The sequence below is a fragment of the Homo sapiens genome, chromosome 10, assembly GCF_000001405.40.
Source record: "Homo sapiens chromosome 10, GRCh38.p14 Primary Assembly".
NCBI lineage: Eukaryota > Metazoa > Chordata > Mammalia > Primates > Hominidae > Homo > Homo sapiens.
This window is the reverse complement of record NC_000010.11, coordinates 113,854,638-113,876,290: the sequence shown is the minus strand read 5'-3', so window position 1 is coordinate 113,876,290 and position 21,653 is coordinate 113,854,638. Positions and strand designations below refer to the sequence as shown.

Genomic DNA, 21,653 nt, shown 5'->3' with positions numbered 1-21,653 from the left:
TATGGCTATTGCAGGATTAAAACTTTTTTTCTTTTATTTAGATAATGCTATAAAAATTATCTTTATTTTTTTAATAAATGTTGAAATTTTTTCCACCTATAATAAGCCCCTTTGAAATTCAGAGTTGACTATGCCTGCTTTTGGGAGGTATTTATTGTTGTATCACTGTCTTTTTTTTTTTAATCTAACTTTACATTACAGATTAACAGAATAAATATAAGCAAGATGTTTCCATAATATAAGGCTTTTGATTTATTTAAAATTCCTATTGTATGGTTCTTAGAACAAGCCTTTCTGTAGACAGAACTGCTGAAAACATACTTCTCTTATCTAATCAATACATTATTTCAAGAAATTAGTACCAAAAAAAAAAAAAAAGTGTTTGGCTGGATTCAGTGAAAAAATTCAATATTGACTACCAAAGTAGTAGAGATAATAACAGCTAAGTAACATTCAAATCTCCCAACACATCCACCAAAAACTACTCAAACCTGCAAGATGAACAAATAAAACCACACAAATCAGGAGGTATAATTTCCCAGCAGCTCATGCTTCTATTATAACTATCAATTCCGAATCAAAACACAGACATGCATGCTTGAAGACACACCCTGCTTGAAGATGGAGAAAAGTAAACCCGACCAGATAGATTGTACAGCAGGGCCAAAACTCAGAAAAGCAAATGACAGAAGATCAAATGACAGAAGAGTGAGCTGCCAATTTTATTTTCTTTTCCAATCCTTTTCCTAGCTTTGTCCTGAGAGTGGGTTCCAGTTTTGGAGCTGTATGGAGAGCCAAAACTCCAACAGAAATCCCACTGCAACTCTAGCCCAAGAAACCACATAACCTGGACAGTGTGGGAGAAACCCTGAGGAGAACAGCTGGGGAAGGTGGCTCCTTATTTCTGAGTATGAACACTCAGAAGTCTTTGTTTAACCCCTAAACTACAGTACAGGGAACAGATTTTAAAAAGTGTAGCAAATGCTTGGGGAGCTGATAACTGAATAACTGGGTTTACAGAAGGAGCGAGAGCTGATGGAAGATGAGACAGAAGTTATAATTTGAATTAAGAGGGTTGATGCCTACTAAAATAAGGCTACCAATGTTCCCTACAGGACTATAACAGAACCCAGAGTTCACATATCGTCACATTCCAACGTCCAGGATACAATAAAAAATTACCTGATATTCAAAGAAAAGAACAAGGAAATATGGTCAGTTATCAAGGTAGGGGGCAAAAAAAACAAGCAACAGATACCGATGCCAAGATAAAGCAGATGTTCGACTTACCAAAGACTTTCAAGCAACTAGATAACTATGCTCCATGAGGTAAAGAAAAACACAAATGAAGTAAAAAGACAGGAAATAAAAACAGAGAAATGGAAATTATAAAAAGTAACTAAAAATGTTAGAACTGAAAAATACCACAAGTTCACTGGATGATCTCATTGGCAAAAAGGACATGACAAAGAAAAGGTTAATGAACCTGAAGACAGCTCAACAGAAATTAATCCAATCTAAAGAACATAAAGAGAGAAAGAAGATTGAAAAAAAATAAACAGAACCTCAGGGACCTGTGGAACAGTTTCAAAATATCTAAATAAGTATACTGGAATCCCAGAAAAAGTGAATAAATAAGATTGGGGCAGAAAAAAATAACTGAGTAATGTCCCAACTTTCAAAATTTGATTAAATATATAAATTTAGAGAATTCAAGCTCAACACACACAAAATAAAATACATTAAAACCATGTCTAGACACATCATAAACAAACTGCTGAAAATCAAAGGCTAAACACACACACACACACACACACACACACACACACACACACACACACACACACAAACACATGCCTTGAAAGCAGCTGGGAAAAAAGATGCAATGAGGAATGGTTGCCTGGGGGATGTGGGTAAAGGTGGTGGGGAGGAGTGGGAAGGACTGCACACCTGTTACCTTGGGCAAGTTACTTAACCTGTTCATCTGTTTTCTCATTTGCAAAACGAGGAAAATAACAGCAAATGCCTTATAAGTCAGGTGGATTAAAAGAGATAATCTGTGTAAGGCATTTAGCATAGTACCTAGTGTAGAGTAAAATTTCAACAAATTTTGCTATAATTATTTTTTAAAGTTGTAAGTACAAAGATTAATAAAAGATAAATGTAAACATTTATAAATATCAGAAGAGATTATGAAAATAAAACAGCAAAGAAAGTGCATCATGTTGATAAACACAACAAATATAACCAAATACACATAATACTTGTACATTACCAGTCATATGAATAAGTACCAATGGGCTTAACTCATTATTAAAAGAAAAAGATTTGGATAAGTTCTTTACATAAAAGATACATCTAAGAAAATGTGAATCAGAAAGACTAAAAGTAAAGGGGTAGAAAAAGATATGCAAGGCAAATGAAAGCAATAAGAATATAAGGGTTGTAGATCTCCTCCTTCCGCGTCTCTAATTTCTGGGCCAGATGAGTGTTTTGCTCCACTTCATCATCTAAACTAAAGCTTACATGGGTTTCAGTTTATCCTTGCAAGTTCTAGTTCATGTTTGCACGTTCTTTCTGGTTTGCCCTTGTTCTCTGCTACTTTATATCCATCTTTCCTTCTCAACTGCCTGACCTGCCATCAGGAGATATAATTTGCCAGTAATTACAACTTTAATTCCAAACCAAAGCACAAGAACATACGCACACACACCTCTGCTTGAAGACTGTGAAAAGTTAGTAAACTTAGGTAGGTTGCAGGAGCACACAAAAGCAACAGCCTCACATATACTAGTTAGCCATGTAGCTCCACAATAACATAAGGTCAACTACCTATAATGAATTCTCTATTAGTTCTCTCATTATTATACCCAGTTGTGCTTCTCTGATCAAACTATGACTAATATACCAAAACTCTACATCTTAGTTTTGGTGTTAGCTCTACATGTATAAAATCTCCATCCATCCATTAGCAGTTTCCCTACTCACCCATGGTTCTCTAGCTCTCCCTATAGTAGATTCACCAGAAAGGGCACATGTGCACAGTATTCTCTGAGTTTTGGGACATTCAAACTGTTTTTCTTTAACCTTGATTGATTCTTGAAGGACAAATGGTTGGATATAATCTCTTTGGTTTATGGTTTACACTCATTAAGATTCCTGAAATGTCACTCTACTGTTGCCTTGCTTTGTACGTTATTTGTGAAAAGCATGGCCAGTCTAACTTACATGTCTTTGTAAGTTACGTTCTTTGTTTTTCAATGTTTAAAGTATAATAATTTTACTAGGATACTTCTTGGACTGTTCTGGGTCAATCACCCCCGGTACCTGGTAGGCCCTTTCAATATGTAGATTCAAGGTTTCTTTTCTTTCCAGAAAGTTTTCTTGGATTCTAATTTTAGATATTTGTTCCAGTCAGCTGTTCTGATTTTCTTGAAGGTCTCCAAGTAGTCTTATGTTGGACCTCCTCTGCCTGTTTTCCAATTCAATCATTTTTTTCTCTAAACCTTTTAACTTTTTTTTTTTTTTTAGCTCATTTTCATTCTCTGGGGTTTCCCTCCCTGCTTTTAATGCCCCTTAATAAATTTTTATACAAATTTATTGTCCCTTGGTCAAATTTAGTTTTCATTTGTAATACAATTTTGAATTTGTCTTCTCTTTTCTGGATTCAATTAACACTCATTTCCCTGTTTCTTTTTTGTCCATTTCTTATTTTGAAATTTCTGATTCAAGCTGTTTTTTTTTCATTATTCCTAAATGCTGACTAAGGATATTTAATCCAGTATGAAGCAAGGTGTTACAGTTTTGTCAATTTTGTATCAGCATTTTAACTCTGAATTGCATTTTCAGCTTCTTTTGCAGTAGTTTTTATATAGATGTGATCTGCTTTTTTCTATTCCTGTTCATTTTGCGAATAGGGTTCCTAGTTTGAGAGTGCCCTCTTCTGACAGTTCCCTTTTTCTGGGCAGTTTCATTGATGAATAGCATTGGTGTAAGGAGGGGTTGATATATCTTCTTTCTCTTTTGTTTCCATTAGAACCTTACCTTTTCCTTCATATACGCTTTTTTCCCTTCAGTGGCCTATCTCCAAGGGAAACCACATCTTTCTTATATAGCTGATTATCTCCCAGGAGCAATGCTTCTCTGAGGCTTCAATTCCTTGTCCTGCACTCTTGTAAGAGCTGGTGATATGGTCTAGTATGTCCAAACCTGTGTTCAGTATTTTATACTTTGTATTGGAGCTTCTCTTTCTGGGGGTAAGGAGACTATTCTGTTTGTGCGTTGTCTAAATACTCTGAACCACTCTGCTTGTTCTCATGGAGTCTTTTAAGTCTCCCCTACACTTGTTCTTGGCATCCACAGACTTACAGCAATAGAACCTTTATGGGAATTTAGTTTATTTCTGAACTTCCATCTAATGTCAAGGCCATGATATTCTCTGTCTCCTAGTATTGTGAAATGCAGGGCCAAGTGAGATTTTACTTGTTCTCCCCTTTTTTATTGTTTGGAACAGAGGGGAGGGACAGTGGGGAGATTCAAGATCAGGTAGCCACCATCCTCCTCCAAACCCAGAAGTAGCACAGATAGATTCTTTTTAATCATTAGGTTTATTGACATATAATTACTTACACTAATCTTTCATACTTTGTTAGTTGATTAAATAAACTAAGTATAAAACCAGAAACTGGTATAAAAACAGAAGTACAGTATAAAATAGAAGTATTTCCAGTAGTATAAAAACAGAAGTACTTCCAATACGATAAAGAATAAGGAAAAAAATGCCTACCATCTCTACTATTGTTTAACAATAAATTGAGGTGGGGCGTGGGGGATTAGCCAACATAATTAGACAAGTGAAATCAATTAGAGGCATAAGACTGAAAAATTTCTATATGGAGCTATAACAGTATATCAAGAAAAGTCCAGAGACTCAATTATAAAACTAAGTCAAATAATAAAAGATTCAGGGCCAGGTGCAGTGGCTCACGCCTGTAATCCCAACACTTTGGGAGGCCGAGGCTGGCTGATCACCTGAGGTCGGGAGGCCAAGACCAGCCTGACCAACATGGAGAAACTCTGTCTCTACTAAAAATACAAAATTAGCCGGGCGTGGTGGCACATCCACGTAATCCCAGCTACTTGGGAGGCTGAGGCAGGAGAATTGCTTGAACCTGAGAGGCAAACGTTGCGGTGAACCGAGATCACGCCACTGTACTCTAGCCTGGGCAATAAGAACAAAACTCCGTCTCAAAAAAAAAAAAAAAAAAAAAAAAAAGATGCAGGAAGCAAGAATAATTAACACATGGAAATCAGTAGCCTTTATATACTCAAACAATAACCAGTTAGGGGATATAATGGCAGACAAAACTTCATATACAATAAATAGCCATATAAACATAAGATTAACCCAACTCAAAAATACATCTTAAAATTACACCAAGATACCACTTCCTATCTATTAGATTGGTAAAAATTAAAAAGTATGTCAAGACAGTTTATTGAAGCAGCATCTGAGAAAGAGGTACACTCACACACTGCTAGCAGAAATACAAACTGGTACAACTTTCCTGATGAAGAACTAGGCAATACCTAACGAAACTACATATGTACTTAACTTTGACCCAGCAATGCCACTTTTAGGAATTTATCCTTAAGTGATTCCACCAGCAAGACAAAAGCATATCTACAAGATTATTTATTGCTTATAATTGCTAAATATGGAATGATCTAAGAGCCAACACACAGGATAGGAGAGTGGCTGAATGAGTTATGGCACACATATAGCGGAGTACTATGCAGTTATTTTTAAAAGTCAAGAAGTTCTCTATGAACTGTTATGAAGTGACTCCTGGGATAAAATTTTACATGAAAAAAGCGAGTGTATAAAAATGTCTACAGTATGTCACCTTTTGTTTTAAAAAAAAGGAAATTTTAAAAAATATAGGACAGAAATGGGAAGGCAAGAACAGTTAGAAGGGATGGGTGGATAGAATGAATATCTGTTTCATCCTCACTTTGAAGACCATGTTGTCTTACACACTCAAAAACTAAGTCAACAAAGATGGGGGGACTTAAAATGAAATACAAATAGAAAAAAATAAATCTAACGATACTTTAGATGAATAACATAATTTAATGGGGGAAGCTGAGAAGTGGGAAGGAATAGCCTAAGTAATTTCTGAATTATTTGAGAAACTAGAAGCAAAAACACCATAGTAGCAATGAGCACATCTAGTTCCCAGACCTTGGTTTCTCAATACCATTCCCTACTAAAAGGGATCAAAGCTCCTTAAAGAAATAGCTGACTCAGGGTTGGGCTGGAAAAACACAAGATACATATGGAAATATTTTGGTGTATTTAGTAAGGAAGGGCTCAAAAAACGACAAAGAAATACCAAAAGATCACAGAAGACAGCCTGAAGGGGATCCTATTAGTCAAATCTTGGACCATTGGAATACCAAAATAAATTATCACAGTAATTATTTATAACCCAATGAATTTTAAATAAGAATCCATGAGTTAAATCTGTATACATTTTATGTACATTATATATATGTAATATTTATCATAAAGTATGTTATCATGTATCACACATTTTCCTACTGATAAATATATCCCAACATTTCCTTGAAGAAGTGATGACTGAAGTGAGATGTGAATGATGAGGTGTTAGGTGCAGAGAACGCTGAAGGAGATTCCAGGGAGAGACAACAGCACCTACAAAGAGGAAGCAGGAAGGATAGAAGAAACTGAAGAAGGTAAGTGACTAGGCACAGAGAACAATGGAGAACGTGGGACAAAATGAGAACAAACATACAGATGGGATCAGTCTTGTAAGTCATGGTAAAGATTTATATCTTTATCCTAAGAAAAATGGGAAGTTATATGGAGAATGAAGGGCAAGTCTCAAAGATATTTCAAACTAAACTCATAACCTTCTCCTCCAAATATGACCTTTTCAGTGTTTCCTGTCACTGCATGGCACCATCATCCATCCAATTATAGAAGCAAAAAACCAGTCTAGGACATCTCTGTAGTAATCAATCAGCCCACTCTCATCATCCATACTTAATCCACAATCAAGTCCTATTGCTCTTATCAGCTATGACTAGTTTCAAGTTGTTATCCTATTCACAGAGAGCACAACAGCCTTGTCACAGATTTCCCATATCCATTCTTGCCCACCAAGTAGTTATCCATCCTGAAGTCACTGATCTTTTAAAAACACAAATCTGATCATGTCACCTTGTTGCAGAAAATCCTTCATTGGCTTTCAATTGTTCCTAGTATAACAAATCTCATCTCTCCAGTATCTTCTCCACACTCTTTTCCTCCTGCAGTATATTCTAGGACTTCCTTTGGTTCCTCAATAATATTATTCCTTTTGCTTTATAGGGTTGGCATACAGTGTTCCCTCTGACTGGAATGTTCTCATCTGTTCTCACCTACTAAAGCCACGCTTGTCTTTTAGAACAGAAGTTCAATTTTTACTTTCATAAGAAAGATTTCTTCCAGATTAAACTCTATAATGTCATCATAGCAGCCTGTAATTTTTCCTATAGATCACTAATCAGAAATTATAAAAATATGTATGATTATTTAATTATATGCCTTCTTTTGTTAGACTATAATGCCTACTAATTACATAGGTCCCATGCATGTTTTATTATTCTCCAGTGCCTAGTACGTAAGTAGGAAACAAATGATTTCACAGGACATAAATACTGAAGGAATTTATAAATCTGTATAATAAACCATATCATATTGTCCAAATAGGAGATCTATATTGATCTACGTACAAACACAATTGCCAAATATCCACTCCCATTTGTTTCTGTAAGAACCTCAATATGCAGATTTTTCTTAAATTATTTAGCTTTTTCTGTTAATCATGCATACTGAAAAGCGGATGTAAAAGATTCTGCCCTTTATGAATCCTTTGCCAACATAGGGATCAAAATTACTCCATTTAAGAGAAAATACAGAAGAAAGGAAAGAAGAGAGGGAGACAGGAAAGAGGGAGAGAAGAGGGCAAGGAAGAAGGGAATGAGGGAAGGAGAAACTATATCAAAAATTGTAACTTCCTTCTTCTCAGTGAAGTAAAACACCACCATCACCACCAATAAAAAAACCACACATACATGGTGGCTCAGGCTGTTTGTAATACCAGCACTTTGAGAGGCTGAGGCGGGCAGATCACTTGAGCCCAGGAGGTCGTGGCTGCCGTGAGCTGTGATCGCACCAGTGAAATCCAGCCCAGGCAACAGAGTGAGACCTTGTCTCTGACTAACCAACAAAAAACATGATAAATATATAACTGCTTCTAAAATATTAGTAATAAAACCACTTTTTAAAATACATATTTTTAAAGCTTCAAAAGTCTTATTGAGAGACGTATACTTCTAAATGCACTCAATTACAATTGTATATACTATAGTAGAACGTGTAGTTTAATCACAGGCAATGTAAAAACCTAGTTAAATGCAAGGATTGAGACTATTTGAGGCATTTCGAAAGATGCTAAAAAAACAAAAACAAAAACAAAAACAAAAACCTGTAATGGAGACATTCTGAGATCCAGAAGACAACCATGGCTTCACTAGACAAAAAGGATGAGACGATGATTCCAGGCAGAGGGAACACTGTGTCAAGGTGTTAAAGCAAGAGGAACAATGATACTTAGGAACTGAAGGAAAGCCAGGGAGGCTAGAACAGCCTTGAGGAAGGATGAGAAGGGTGTGGAAAAGATGCTGGAGAGGGAAAATTTTCGTTTTTATACTAAGAACAATGGAAACATAAAAATGAAAGGATCAAAATCGCTGAACACTAAATTGGGAAATAAATGAGAAGCAAATTTGAAAGCCAATCAAACACTGATATCAGGCTGTTGTCCACACTAAACATCTGAAAATGTGCCATAAATTGGCAATGTTTTCATAGTACTTTATTTAAGAACATAGAATAAATAGACAAACTACTGAATAAAGAAAATATAAAGTGTGTGCAGAAAGAGTTAACATAGTAGCCCTGACTGCTATCCTTTAAAAGGTGTGCAAACAAGATTGGCTCTTGCCTGGCTTCTGGGAGCTTAGATTTCGGGAGGGTTTTCACCATTCCTAGAACTGATGAGTGGCTCACTTTGCCTAAAATGTTTGTACAAACAATACAGCTTATACTGAATACCTGCTTTCCTTCTGAGAATCTGAACTTTTGAAACATGACAGCAGGCAGAAGCTGCCTACATGACCAGCCCCCAATAAAAGCCTTGGTTATTTCTAAGCTTCTCTGGTTGGCAACATCCCAAATGTGCTGTCACAACACATGGCTGAGGAAATTAAGAGCACCTTGGGTTGACTCCACTGAAAGAAGACTCTAGAATCTTGTACCTGGTCTCCCTTCAACTCAGCCCCATGCATCTTTTCCCTTTCCTGATTCTGCTTGGTATCTTTTTGCTATAATATAGTCATGAGTACAATTATATGCTGAATCTTGTGAGTACTCCTAATGAAAACTATCAAACCTGGTGAAGGAGCCGGGGGTGGAGGCGGGGAGGCGGGCAGGCGAGGTTTGAGAACAATGACACAAAGTGAAATTATATATAGACTTATTTAAAGGCTTATTTTACTATAAAATTAAAAGTGCATTCTTCTAATTTTTAATAAAGTATAAAACAGAAAAAAGCATATACTATATGATAATACTAGCATTTACTCAATAGTAATAAGAAATTCAGATTTTTAGAAGTCTGACTTAGTTATACATTAACATACACCTAGCAATCACATTAAAATACACAAGGCTTTCCTAATAGAAGTTTTCTTATAAAACAAAAGTGCTTTTCCTTAGATAATAGCCATTATGTTCAATTTCAGTACTACATAATAACATACCATTAATGTATACACCATAAATAAAAAACTTAGAAGTTCTCAAGTAGAAAATGGTAAAATATCACTTGCAGTTTAACATAAATATGTACTAAGTTATTATTAATTAATAACAATCTTAGGGCATAGTTGCTTCTTTAAAAATGTTTAAACATCAGAACAATTCATTCCTATTAAGTAGGTTTTGCTTTTTGCTTTCAAACTTCTTGGCATTTGCGATTTCTCATTTGCGACTGTGAAAGTGGCACTGGCCCCTATTACAAACCTGCATTTAAAAGCTGATTTAGAGGAAGCAAGTTGATTATGAAATTGGGCCTCTTTCAAGGTTTTGAATTAATAAACACTTCCTTATTCAGTGGAGCATTTTTGGCTTTATGGTAAAATGAGCAGAACATTTCATGGAATTTTAAATATACTGCCAAATGTCACTTCGAGAACATAAATAGCACTGCTGCAGATACATTCAGAAGTACATCAAATAGTAATGGGAGAAGATATTTAACTACAAAAAAGCAAATTCAATTTAGTGACTTAGTGACAGCTTATTGAGCTGCCATGTGATCATTTCTGGTTATGTCTGCTTTTATGAATATGAACTGAACTTATCTTCTAATCAATATAAAAATCTTTTAAGTTATCAGGATTTTCACATAGTAGCATATTACAGAAGCAATGTTTCTTTGAAATACAATGTTGAGACTACTTACAAAATATTTTTTAATGGTTAAAAATTTATTCCACTATGTAACAAACCTGCATGTTCAGCACATGTATCCCAGAACTTAAACTAAAAAAAAAAAAAAAAGTCGAAGTTATATTAAAAAAAAAAAAAAGAAAAGAAAGCCTCTGTGAACACTTATCACAATGGCATTCTCAACTATTTCTCGTGCTTTTCCTTTTTTCCAATATTCTTCACAAACCTGTGGCAAATTAAAGAAAAAGTTCTACGGTAATCTAAAAAAGAAATATATTCCACAAACAATATTCTAAGCCAAATACAGAAAAACACTAGTCAGTATTCTCCACCACATTAACAAGTGAGTTATTGGGCCAGCAAATCATACCCAGTAATATGCTAATAAACCAGCTCTATTATATGGTGAGAGGAACGGGGGGGGGGGATGAAAAGCGATTTTTAAAAACCTCTCATTTGTGGCCGGGCGCGGTGGCTCACACCTGTAATCCCAGCACTTTGGGAGGCCGAGGCAGGCGTATCACGAGGTCAGAAGATCGAGACCATCCTGGCTAACACGGTGAAACCCTGTCTCTACTAAAAATACAAAAAATTAGCTGGGCGTGGTGAGGAGCGCCTGTAGTCCCAGCTACTCGGGAGGCTGAGGTAGGAGAATCGCTTGAACCCGGGAGGCGGAGCTTGCAGTGAGCTGAGATGGCGCCATTGCACTCCAGCCTGGGCGACAGAGCAAGACTCTGTCTCAAAAAAAAAAAACCAAAAAACCTCTGATTTGTAGCATTTGTTGATTTCCATGGTCTAAATACTCCCACTATGGCTGATTTCAAGATTACCACTGGCTCATAAAATTTCTTACATATTTAACAAATGGCTCTCACCAGCCTACAGGAGCCAGCTCCAACAAACCACTGAGTGTAACCCTCCCAGTGGTGCACAATTCTGACCTTGTAAGGTTCATTTTTAAAATAGTTGTTAAAAACCCATTTTTGTGTGTGTGTGTGGTTTTTTTTTTTTTTTAGACGGAGTCTTGCTCTGTCGAAAGGCTAGAGTTCAGTGGCGCAATCTCAGCTCACTGCAATCTCTGCCTCGTGGGTTCAAGCGATTCTCTTGCCTCAGCCTCCCTAGTAGTTGGGATTACAGGGGCGCGCCACCACACCCAGCAATTTTTGTATTTCTAGTAGAGACAGGGTTTCACCATGTTGGCCAGGATGGTCTCCATCTCTTGACCTCATGATCCGCCTGCCTTGGCCTCCCAAAGTGCTGGGATTATAGGCGTGAGACACCACGCCTGGCTCATTTTTGTGTTCTTATAGTTTCTTCCATAAGATTTACTATTTTAACCGTTTGTTAAGTGTACAGTTCAAGGTATTTAGGACATTCCTATTGCTGTGCGACCATTGCCATCCTCCATCTCCGGAACTCATTTCATCTCGCAAAACTGAAAATGTACCCATTAAACAATAGCTCCACATTCTCCCCTCTTGCTAGTCACTAGCAACCACCATTTTACTTTCTGTCTCTATGATTCAGATTACTCTAAGTACCCTGTGTAAGTGAAATTATGTAGTATTTGAATTTTTGTAAGTGGCATAAATTGTGAATTTTTTTTCACCTAACATAATGTCCTCAAAGTTCATCCATGTTAGAATTTCCTTCCAAGGTTGAATAACATTCCACTGTATGCACACACCACATTTTCCTCACCCACGATCCATCAATGGACACTTAGGTTGTTTCTAAATCTTGGCTATTGAGAATAATGCTACCAGATATAGGTCTATTCAGGTTTTCTATTTCTTCATAGTTTAGTCTTAGTAGGTTTTGTTTTCAGAAATTTGTCTACTTCATCTAGGTTATCCAATTTGTTAATGTACAATTGCTCATAGTACTCTTATAATCCTTTTTATTTCTGTAGAATCAGTAGTAATGTTCCCATTTTCATTCCTGATTTTAATAATTTGAGTCTTCTTTTTTCTTAGTCTAGCTAGCTAAAGGTCTAGGAATTTTTCTGGTACTTTTAGAGAACCAACTTTTGGTTGGTTGTACCCAAATTGATCTTTTCTATTATCTATTTTGTTTCTCCCTGCTTGAATCTTTATTTCCTTCCTTCGGTTAGCTTTGGGTTTACTGTGTTTTTCTTTTTCTAGATTCTTAAGGTGTAAAATTCTAAGATATTACACCTTAGATTTAAGTTATTTCTTGTTTTTTAATATAAGCATTTATAACCATAAATTTCTTCCTTAGCCCTGTTTTCACCATGTGCCATAAGTTTTGTTACATTGTGTTTTCATTCGTCTCTAAGTATTTTCTAATAATTACCTATGTGTTTTCTTCTTTGGTCCACTGGTTATTTAAGAGTGTGCTGTTTGATTTCCACAAATTTGTGAATTTTCCAATTTTCCTTTGGTTATTGTTTTCTAACTTCATCTGTGATCAGAAAAGATACTTTAATATTTATCTTTAAAAAAAATCTATTGAAATTAACTTGTGGCATAACTAATGGTCTATCCTGGAAAATGTCCCATACGCAATCCTGTTGTTGTTGGGTAGTGTTATCTTGTTGGGGAGAGTGTCCTGTATATATTGGGTATAATTCTCCAACTACTATTGTAGAATTGTCTATTTCTCCCCTCAATTCTGTCAATTTTTGTTCATATATTTTGTCTGTTATTAAGTGCCTGTTTATAATCATTTTATCATTATAATCATATCATCTATGTATTAATTTATTTTTTAATAAATGAGGTCTTGCTATGTTACTCAGGCTGGTCTCCAACTCCTGGCCTCAAGTGATCTTCCTGCCTCAGCCTCCTGAGTAGCTGGGATTACAGGTGAAATCTGTGCTCAGCTTGGGCTTTTTATTAGTATATAATGTCCTTCTTTGTCTCTTGTAACCTTTTTAGATCTAAAGTCCATTTTGTCTGATACTAGCATAGCCATCCCAGCTCTCTTTTAGTTACAATTTGCATACAATATCCTTTTCCATCCTTTCAATTTTAACCTGTTTGTATCTTTGGATCTAAAGTGAGTCTCTTGAAGACAACATATAGTTGGAATATGTTATTTATTCATTCTGCCAATTTCTGCCTTTCAATTAGAAGACTTAATCCATTTACATTTAAAGTAATTATTGACAAAGAGGGACTTATCTGTCATTTGGCTATTTGTTTTCTACATGCCTTAGAGCTTTTTTGTCCCTCATTTTCTACATTACTGTTTTTTTTTTTGTTTAGTTGATTTTTATTTTGTAGTGAAACATTTAAATTCTTTTCTTATTTCATTTTGTGTATATTCTTTCTTTCTTTTTTTTTGTGGTAACCAGAGGAATTACATTTAACATCTTAAAGTTATTACGCTCTAATTTGAATTTATGCCAGCTTCAATAACACACAAAAACTCTGCTCCTTTAACACCTCCATCCCATCCCTTTCAGTTGTTGATGGCCCCAAATTACATCTTTGTACATTATATCTCCAAATATATAAACTAATAATTACTTTAATGCATTAGTTTCTTAAATTACATAGAAAATAGGCCGGGCTCGGTGGCTCATGGCGTTAATCCCATACAGCAGTTTGAGAGGCTGAGATGGGCGAATCATGTGAGGTCAGGAGTTCAAGACTAGCCTGGCCAACATAGTAAAACCTGTCTCTACTAAAAAAAATACAAAAAGTAGCTGGGCGTGGTCGCAGGCACCTGTAATCCCAGCTACTTGGGAGGCTGAGGCAGGACAATTGCTTGAGCCTGGGAGGCAGAGGTTGCAGTAGGCCGAGATGCGCCACTACACTCTAGCCTGGGGAATAGAGCAAGACTCTGTCTCAAAAAAAAAATACATAGAAAACAAAATGTGATGTTACAATAACATTAGCTTTTAGAATAATTTTAAAAATATAGTAGTCTCTTAAATCATGTAGAAAACAAAAAGTGGAGTTAAATACCAATGTTACAGTAACACTAGTTTTTATACTTGCCTATTATTTACTTTTACTGAGATCTTTATTTCTTCACTGGCTTTGAATTATTGTCTAGTGTCCTTTCATTTCAACCTGAAGGACTCCTTTAGCATTTCTTTCAGGACAGGTCTATTAATGAACTCCCTTAGCTTTTATTTATCTGGAAATGTCTTACTTTCTCTCTCACTTTGAAGGACAGTTTGCCAGTCATAGAATTCTTGGTTGACAGTTTTGTTCCTTTAGTACTTTGAATATATTGGCCCACTGCCTTCTGGCCTCCAAAGTTTCTGATGAGAAATCAGCTGATTATTGAAGATTCCTTGTATGTGATGAGTTGCTTCTCTCCTGCTTTCAAAATTCTCTCTTTGGTTTTAGGCAGTTTGATAATAATGTGTCTTGGCATGATTCTCTTTGAGTTCATCCTACTTGGAGTTTACTAAACTTCTTAGATGTTTGTGTTCATGTTTTTCATCAAATTTGGGATGTTTTCAACCATTATTTCTTCAAATATTCTCTGCCAAAATGCACATGCTGGTCTGATTGATGGTGTTCCAAGGTCCTTTAGGCTCTGTTTTCTCTTCCTCAATCTCTGTTCTGTTTGTTCCTTAATCATTTCCATTGCCTTATCTTCAGGTTCACTGATTCTTCTTTCTGCCTACTCAAATCTGTCTTCGAGTCTCTACATGGCCCCTGACCTATGAGGGTATGACTTATAATTTTTCAACTTTACGATGAGTTTATCTGGACATAATTCACTGTAAGTCAAAGAGCTCCTTAGGATTTAGAAAGTTATGATTTCTACTGAGTATCACCTTTCCACCATCAAGTCAAAATATTTTAAGTCGAATCATCATAAGTCAGGGACCATCTGCTGTGCTACCAAGCATTAAACATACTTTCTCAACTTCATGATATTTTCAACTTACCATGGGTTTATCAGCTGCACTATAAGTCAAGGAGCCTCTGTAGTGAGTTTCTCCTCACTGTTAGTCCACTTTTCAGTTCCAGAATTTCTTTCTAGCTTCTATTTAGGTTTTCTCTTTATTGTATTTCCATTTTCTTCATACATTGTTTTTTTAAAACTTTTTCCATATTTCCCTTTAGTTATTTGGGCATCTTTAAGACAGTGTTTTAAAGTCTTTGTCTCATAGATATGTATCAGGTATTTTTTAGAGACAATTTCTATCGGTTTATTTTTTTCCTTTGAATGGGCTGTACTTCCCTGTTCTTGAATGGGCTGTACTTCCCTGTTCTTTGTGTATGCTTTGTGATTCTTTGTTGAAACTGACAGTGAATTCTTGCTCCACTTACAAAGTATTTTGCTTTTCAGAAGCATATTTGTATATAAAAATATTTTTAATTTTTTTGTCACAATGTGCTATAAAAACAATGTTTCCAGTAAACTAGTAGGAGATTATAAGGATCCATTCTAGGAAGTCACTGAATCTGCTTAAGGTATGGGGTTAACCATGAGTTCACCAAATAGTCTTTCAGGGGTGATCTTAGGTATGGAACTGGTAAACTTTGAGATTCTTAACTCCATGTGTAATGCCATTCTAAAACACAAATGTCATCCGTCTACTAAAAAAACAAATCAAAAACAAACTTCAATCTCTGTATCCTCACAGAAGGAAAAGTCTAAACTATTAAGAACGCTATACAATGCATTTCACAATGTGCTCCTAACCTAACCTACCTTTGTCTCCTTTTACTTTTACCATGAACTCTTACAATCTTGCCACACTAAATTATTTACCTGTTCTTGGAGCAAGAATCCTACTCCTCTGTGATTCCATGCTTGTTTACCTGAAGCTTCCTCAGCCAGGAGTGTCCCTTCTGCCCCACTTTCATTTTCAGCTGCACTCCTGCTTATTTTTCAAGTTCTAGCTCAATTGTCTCCTTCTCTGAGAAATCTTTTCCAATGTTTCTAGGCAAAGTGACTTATTCCTTTCCTTAGGTTCCATAATGTTTTTTATTCAATTTTGTTACATATTTCCTCAGCAGTTAGCAGAGTACCCTGCACATAACAACATGTTCAATAAACGTGATGTCTTGAACAAGAAACACTGGCATCTAAAACCTAGGAGATAAGATATCCATATTTCTTAAATCCATACAGATAAATTTTTAATAACAGGATTTAGCTAGTAGAAATATTTGAGTTCTTGATAAATCATTTGACTGGTAATTTTAACATACAATGTATTACAATTCAAAAGCATCTGAAGTTTCAGTTGCACTGAAGATTTCTCTATCACTTCCCCTTTAAAGTTAAGTTTCAGAATATCCTTTACTTTCACACGTATATAGTCTATTCTCATCTTTACTAACACAGGATCGGTGACCCTATCTCTTTTTTTTATCCACTCCAAGATTAGTGCTTCAATTCACTTGAACCTAATTAAATGATACTTTTAATTAATTTCATTTACTCCCATGTTCTTTTTTTAGAAAGTAGACAAAAAAAATTTGATTAATTTTTCAAACTTCTAAAGCCAATAAGTATAATCTCCTACATCTTTAGAATTTGTAATACCATAAAAATGGATTTCCTAGTGTGCTTTGAAAAACATTAGCTGTAATAAATCATTTTTTAATGAAGCAGGGTCAAAGAAAGAGTATCTGTTATATTTTGCATTCCACTGCAGTTCATGTCATTCAATATTAATGAAAGCCTAGTCACATTTCCTAATAAGAACTTTAAACCTTTGTATCACAGTGAAAACAGTGTAAAATTAAGGTCAGATATTTTATTTTTTTAATAGAACAAATTTAAGTCAGCCTCAACATACAAAAAGACCTTTTAAAATATCTGATCATGAAAAATAGCAAATTATGCCCCTATCCGCAGAGAAAAACCATATACTAAATGCTGGTTCTTTAGATAGGCAAACCACTATCACTAAGCTTAATCCTTTATGAAAAGGTACATGAAGTCTTTAATTCATAGATAAGAGATTACTTTTAGAATCCCTGAAGCCTTGCCAAATGTTCATTCTCCTATGAGCTAATGAGTCAGCCACTCTTCCAGTGACTATGCCAGGACAGTCTGTTAGAAACTAATTAAAGAGCAGATACCTTTATCAGAGTATGTGTGTTCTAATGCATGGAGATCAGGCAATAGGTGAATACAGTTTATGCAGCAGTAGGTGAAGAAATCAAGGACGACTATTTTTCCACATAGATCCTTGTAGACAGAAATAGGTTCTTCTGTGTTCAGCCATTCTAATCCTGAAATTTACATAAAATAAATTACAATGATTAAAGAGAAAGATAAAATTTACCTAAAACTTTCCATTAAAATGTGACCTTTTTTTTTAAGACTAATGCAAATAAACACTTTGAGAGAGTAGCACCATATAAAGGCTGTGGCAGTTGCATGTATTTATAGTTGTTTACTATGAACCATCATTTTCTATCAACAAAAGAAATAAAAGATATATCTTTATGACTGTAACTAAACAGGTATTTGGGTTTGGAAGAACATACCAAAAAGGCAAATTAGCAGAGATTAAAAGCCCAAAAAGGGAAGAAAGAAAAGGAAGGGATGGGGGTACGGGTGGGGGAGCAGGAGGAGTAGAGGATGGGAAAGCTGCTATTATGATGCCATCTGCAAATAAAGCAAGAAAAAGCTACTAAATTCTTTCAGAAATAGGGTAACAGTCTGTGAAAAGGAGTAAAGGCAACACACTTAGGCAAAAAAAAAAAAAAAGGAAGAAATATCAAATAGTAAATGAACCTAATTACATAAACAATTAGATACAAATGGGCTACTGAGAATAAAGGTCAAGCTTAAGAATAGTAAGATATAACTAAACATCAAAAAGGAGTGAAATGTGTGTAAGGATAAACATACAAAATGCCTAAAACAGTTTCCTAAAGGAGAAGAAACTGAAATATTCTGGATTTGGATGAGACCGTAAATACAAAATAAAATATGCTAAATGTAAAGTTAAGCAAAATACACTTATTATTGTCACAGATTTCATTGAGGTAACATTAATATTAATGAAGAACGTGTTCCCTTTCCTCCAAAAAAAGAAAGCTCTGTACTATGAAGAAAGATTTTGTTAACTAATAATAAAGTACAGCATCCCTATTTAACCAATTTAAGAAAACAAAGTTTACTGCTTATAAATAACTCAATGCAGCTATTACAACTATTAATTATGCCTTGAAGCAGGTATTTAGAATAGCTTTTAGCAACTGAAAGCCAAACTTGGGAGGAAGAAGTAAACAGTAACAGCTAATGATTAACAACAATAACTGTTGTTACTCAATCATAACAAAATTCTAGAAAAAAAAATCTGCAGATCAAACTAGTATTTGGGCCAATTAGTCCAAACTAATGAGGTTTCAGGGTACAGTGACCTCTTAATTATCCATTTTGTTAAAATATTAATTATATACCAGATCAAGTGATCATACAAAACTTCAGACTAATTAATGTATATTTCATATCCTACTTGCAAAATATTTATTAATCTGTCTTCTGTGACTTTTCTGTAAATAGTCAAGAGTGGCTTAGATCAGGGGGTATAGAAAGAATGACTACATCTTAGTCACCGTGCTAGATACTTACCAGGCTTAATAAAATTTATTTTACAATAACAATAATTACAATGAATACAATAAAAAGCTGCTAACATTTAGTAAGCTTTTCTGTGAATTAAGAATTTTACATATATTACTTTCAATACAAATAATAATCCTGAAAGGTAAATAATAGTTCAGTTTTGCAAGTGAGAAATATAAGGCTTTGAGGTCAAGTAACTTGCTCAAAATCACACAACCAACAAAATGGAAATAACAAGGATCTAATTCCAGGTCTCTGTGAATCTATCCATTACACTGCACTGTCTCCTATAAACATGTAAGTCTTCTAAGAAATGAACAAAGCATACAGTTTTTCAAATAAAGTTATGTTTATGACTTCCTGATTATAGTTTACTGCTAAAGAAACCAAGAAAACAGTCATTTCTAGCATTCTGTCCTCAATAATCGGGTCCAGGAGAAAATCATACTGTGTTAAACACAAAGCCTGAATATTTTATTATATGTTTTTTTAGTTATGAGTCACAGAGGTCAAATCTCATGGGAATAAAATACACTCCCTGTAAATACAAACAAGACTAGAAAATAAAAAACATTCCCCAAATCCCAGTTGATGGCCTGCTTGTTTATAACAGTGTACTTACTATATAACTACCTTCTGCACCAAAACTTTTTAAAATCATATATTTGTATAGATGTAAACAATCTTTTAAAGTTTGATGGGATAAGCATTCATGTACCCAATTCTTTTGTAAGAATTCCACAATATTTCAAATCCAGTATAAGATTAATAGCAGGAAAAATAAGCACTTCTCAAGGTGAGTAGTGCAAAAGACTTGGAAAGACACCAATACTCTGTTGTCGGAGGCAGGTTCCGATATACCTCCCATGAGATAACTGAATTCTGCCACATCCAACCAATTAACTATACATGTGGTTTCAGTGTCACGCCAGGACACATGCCAGCACCATCAGGCAAAGCAATGCTACTCCCATCCAAAGAAGGTAAAATACGTTTTCATTTATCATGGCAAGATATGCTTCACAAACATCCCTGCCGGGAATATCTGTTCCTTCATGCTCCAAAAGCTCACATGGCCAGGATTTAAACCCTGGAAATAGGCTATAATTGATTCCGATTTTTAAAAGTATTAGTTTCACGACTTTGAACGGAGAAGCACAGTACAGCTAAGAAACCAGCAAATCCAGGGCCTGTATAATCCAACTGGGGCAGTTATCAGCTGTGAGGCCCTGGGCATGTGACTTAACCTCTCTGTGCTTCCATTTCCTCAACTGTGAAAGGGGAATGATAGGAGCACCTCACTGGGATATAGAGGTAATTGAATAAGGTAATATCTCCTCAAGTGTTTAGGTATCCCCTCAAGTGTTTAGGACTGTGTGTGGCAGGCCGGGCGCGGTGGCTCACGCCTGTAATCCCAGCACTTTGGGAAACGGAGGCGGGAGGATCACTTGAAATCAGGAGGTCGAGACCAGCCTGGCCAACATAGTGAAACGCCGTCTCTACTAAAAATACAAACAAAACAAAACAAAACAAAACAAAACAAAACAACTAGCCAGGCGTGGTGGCGCGGGCCTGTAGTCCCAGCTACTCCGGAGGCTGAGGCAGGTGAATCGCCTGAACCTGGGAGGCGGAGGTTGCAGTGAGCCAAGATCACGCCACTGTACTCCAGCCTGGGAGACAGAGCGAGACTCCGTATCAAAAAAAAACAAAAAAAAACCCTGTGTGTGATACATGAAAAAGTGATCAATAAATGTCAAGATGATGCAGAAAGATGACCAGAAGACACTGGGGAACCAGATTGAATGGACAGAATGGTGTGGACGTTGCAATCATTGCCACCGGGGACACTAAATATTCACGGAGTGTCCACTTGGCTAATATCAGGCGCGGGCGGAACTCAGGATACACAGACGAGTATGTGGATCCCCGTGCCAGGGAAACCCCCGTCGGTGGCCGCTTGGGGACCCCTGGGAATTGCAGAACACGCGAACAGCGGCCCAAGTTAGGCGAAGGGCCACTCCCCGGGGCGCCAGCGGCACAAACCCGCCTAGCCCACCGCTTCGCGGGAGGGCGCCGTCCCCGAGGAAGGGGAGGTGCCGGGAGGGGCCCCCACCCCGACGCCAGCCCCTCACCTTCCGGAAACTCGGGTACTGACAAGTCCTGCTCCCAGCCGTCCACCTTCTGCAGATACTGGTAGACCAGGCTGTCCTTCTCCTGCTGGGTAACGGCGTCGAGCAGGGCGTACTCTAGCGAGGTCTGCGCGGGGAGCAGGCCGGAGAGGCTGCGGCCCCGGCCTCCGGGCGCCGCCATGTTTCCGCCGGGCTCCCGATGCGGCCGCCGGGCCCGCGGGAGAGTCTCGCTGGGAGAGACGAAACGTTCACTGTCCTGTGGTTTCCAAACGGCGCATTCACCTCACCCTCCACTAGCCCCACTCCACGCCAATGACACTTTTTTCTTTTTAAAGCATAGGTCCAAGTGCCAAAAGTCCAAATCGGCGCAGTTCCCGGGGACGTAATTAAACTGCCGTCCGACCCACCCCGCCCCT

The 21,653-nt window shown here is 36.6% G+C and overlaps 1 protein-coding gene and 1 long non-coding RNA gene across 3 annotated transcripts in view, besides 2 other annotated features; both read right to left on the bottom strand.

The window, feature by feature from the left end:
• The window catches only part of NHLRC2 (NHL repeat containing 2), a 62,534-nt gene extending 40,904 nt beyond the window's left edge, over positions 1-21,630 (bottom strand). For both annotated transcript variants that reach the window (NM_198514.4, XM_011539769.4), the window contains exons 1-2: positions 21,241-21,630; positions 17,611-17,763 (exon numbers count right to left, since the gene is read on the bottom strand). In NM_198514.4, coding sequence (NP_940916.2) covers positions 17,611-17,763; positions 21,241-21,418 — 331 coding nt within the window. In that variant the 5' untranslated portion in view covers positions 21,419-21,630. The remainder of the gene's footprint in view (positions 1-17,610; positions 17,764-21,240) is intronic.
• On the bottom strand, positions 12,651-17,604 carry LOC124902506 (uncharacterized). The gene is made up of 2 exons (XR_007062295.1): positions 16,289-17,604; positions 12,651-13,006 (listed from the first exon to the last, which is right to left on the bottom strand). It is a non-coding gene; the product is annotated as an uncharacterized LOC124902506 (long non-coding RNA).
• Positions 20,446-21,150: an enhancer, noted in NCBI's record as "NANOG-H3K27ac-H3K4me1 hESC enhancer chr10:115614900-115615604 (GRCh37/hg19 assembly coordinates)". NCBI's record gives its function as "activates a minimal SCP1, AML or CMV promoter by ChIP-STARR-seq in naive H9 embryonic stem cells {active_cell/tissue: H9 hESC(naive)}" and the evidence as "EXISTENCE:reporter gene assay evidence [ECO:0000049][PMID:30033119]".
• Positions 21,161-21,520: a silencer, noted in NCBI's record as "silent region_2838". NCBI's record gives its function as "represses an Ori minimal core promoter by ATAC-STARR-seq in GM12878 lymphoblastoid cells {active_cell/tissue: GM12878}" and the evidence as "EXISTENCE:reporter gene assay evidence [ECO:0000049][PMID:35858748]".
• Positions 21,631-21,653: the final 23 nt, after the last annotated feature.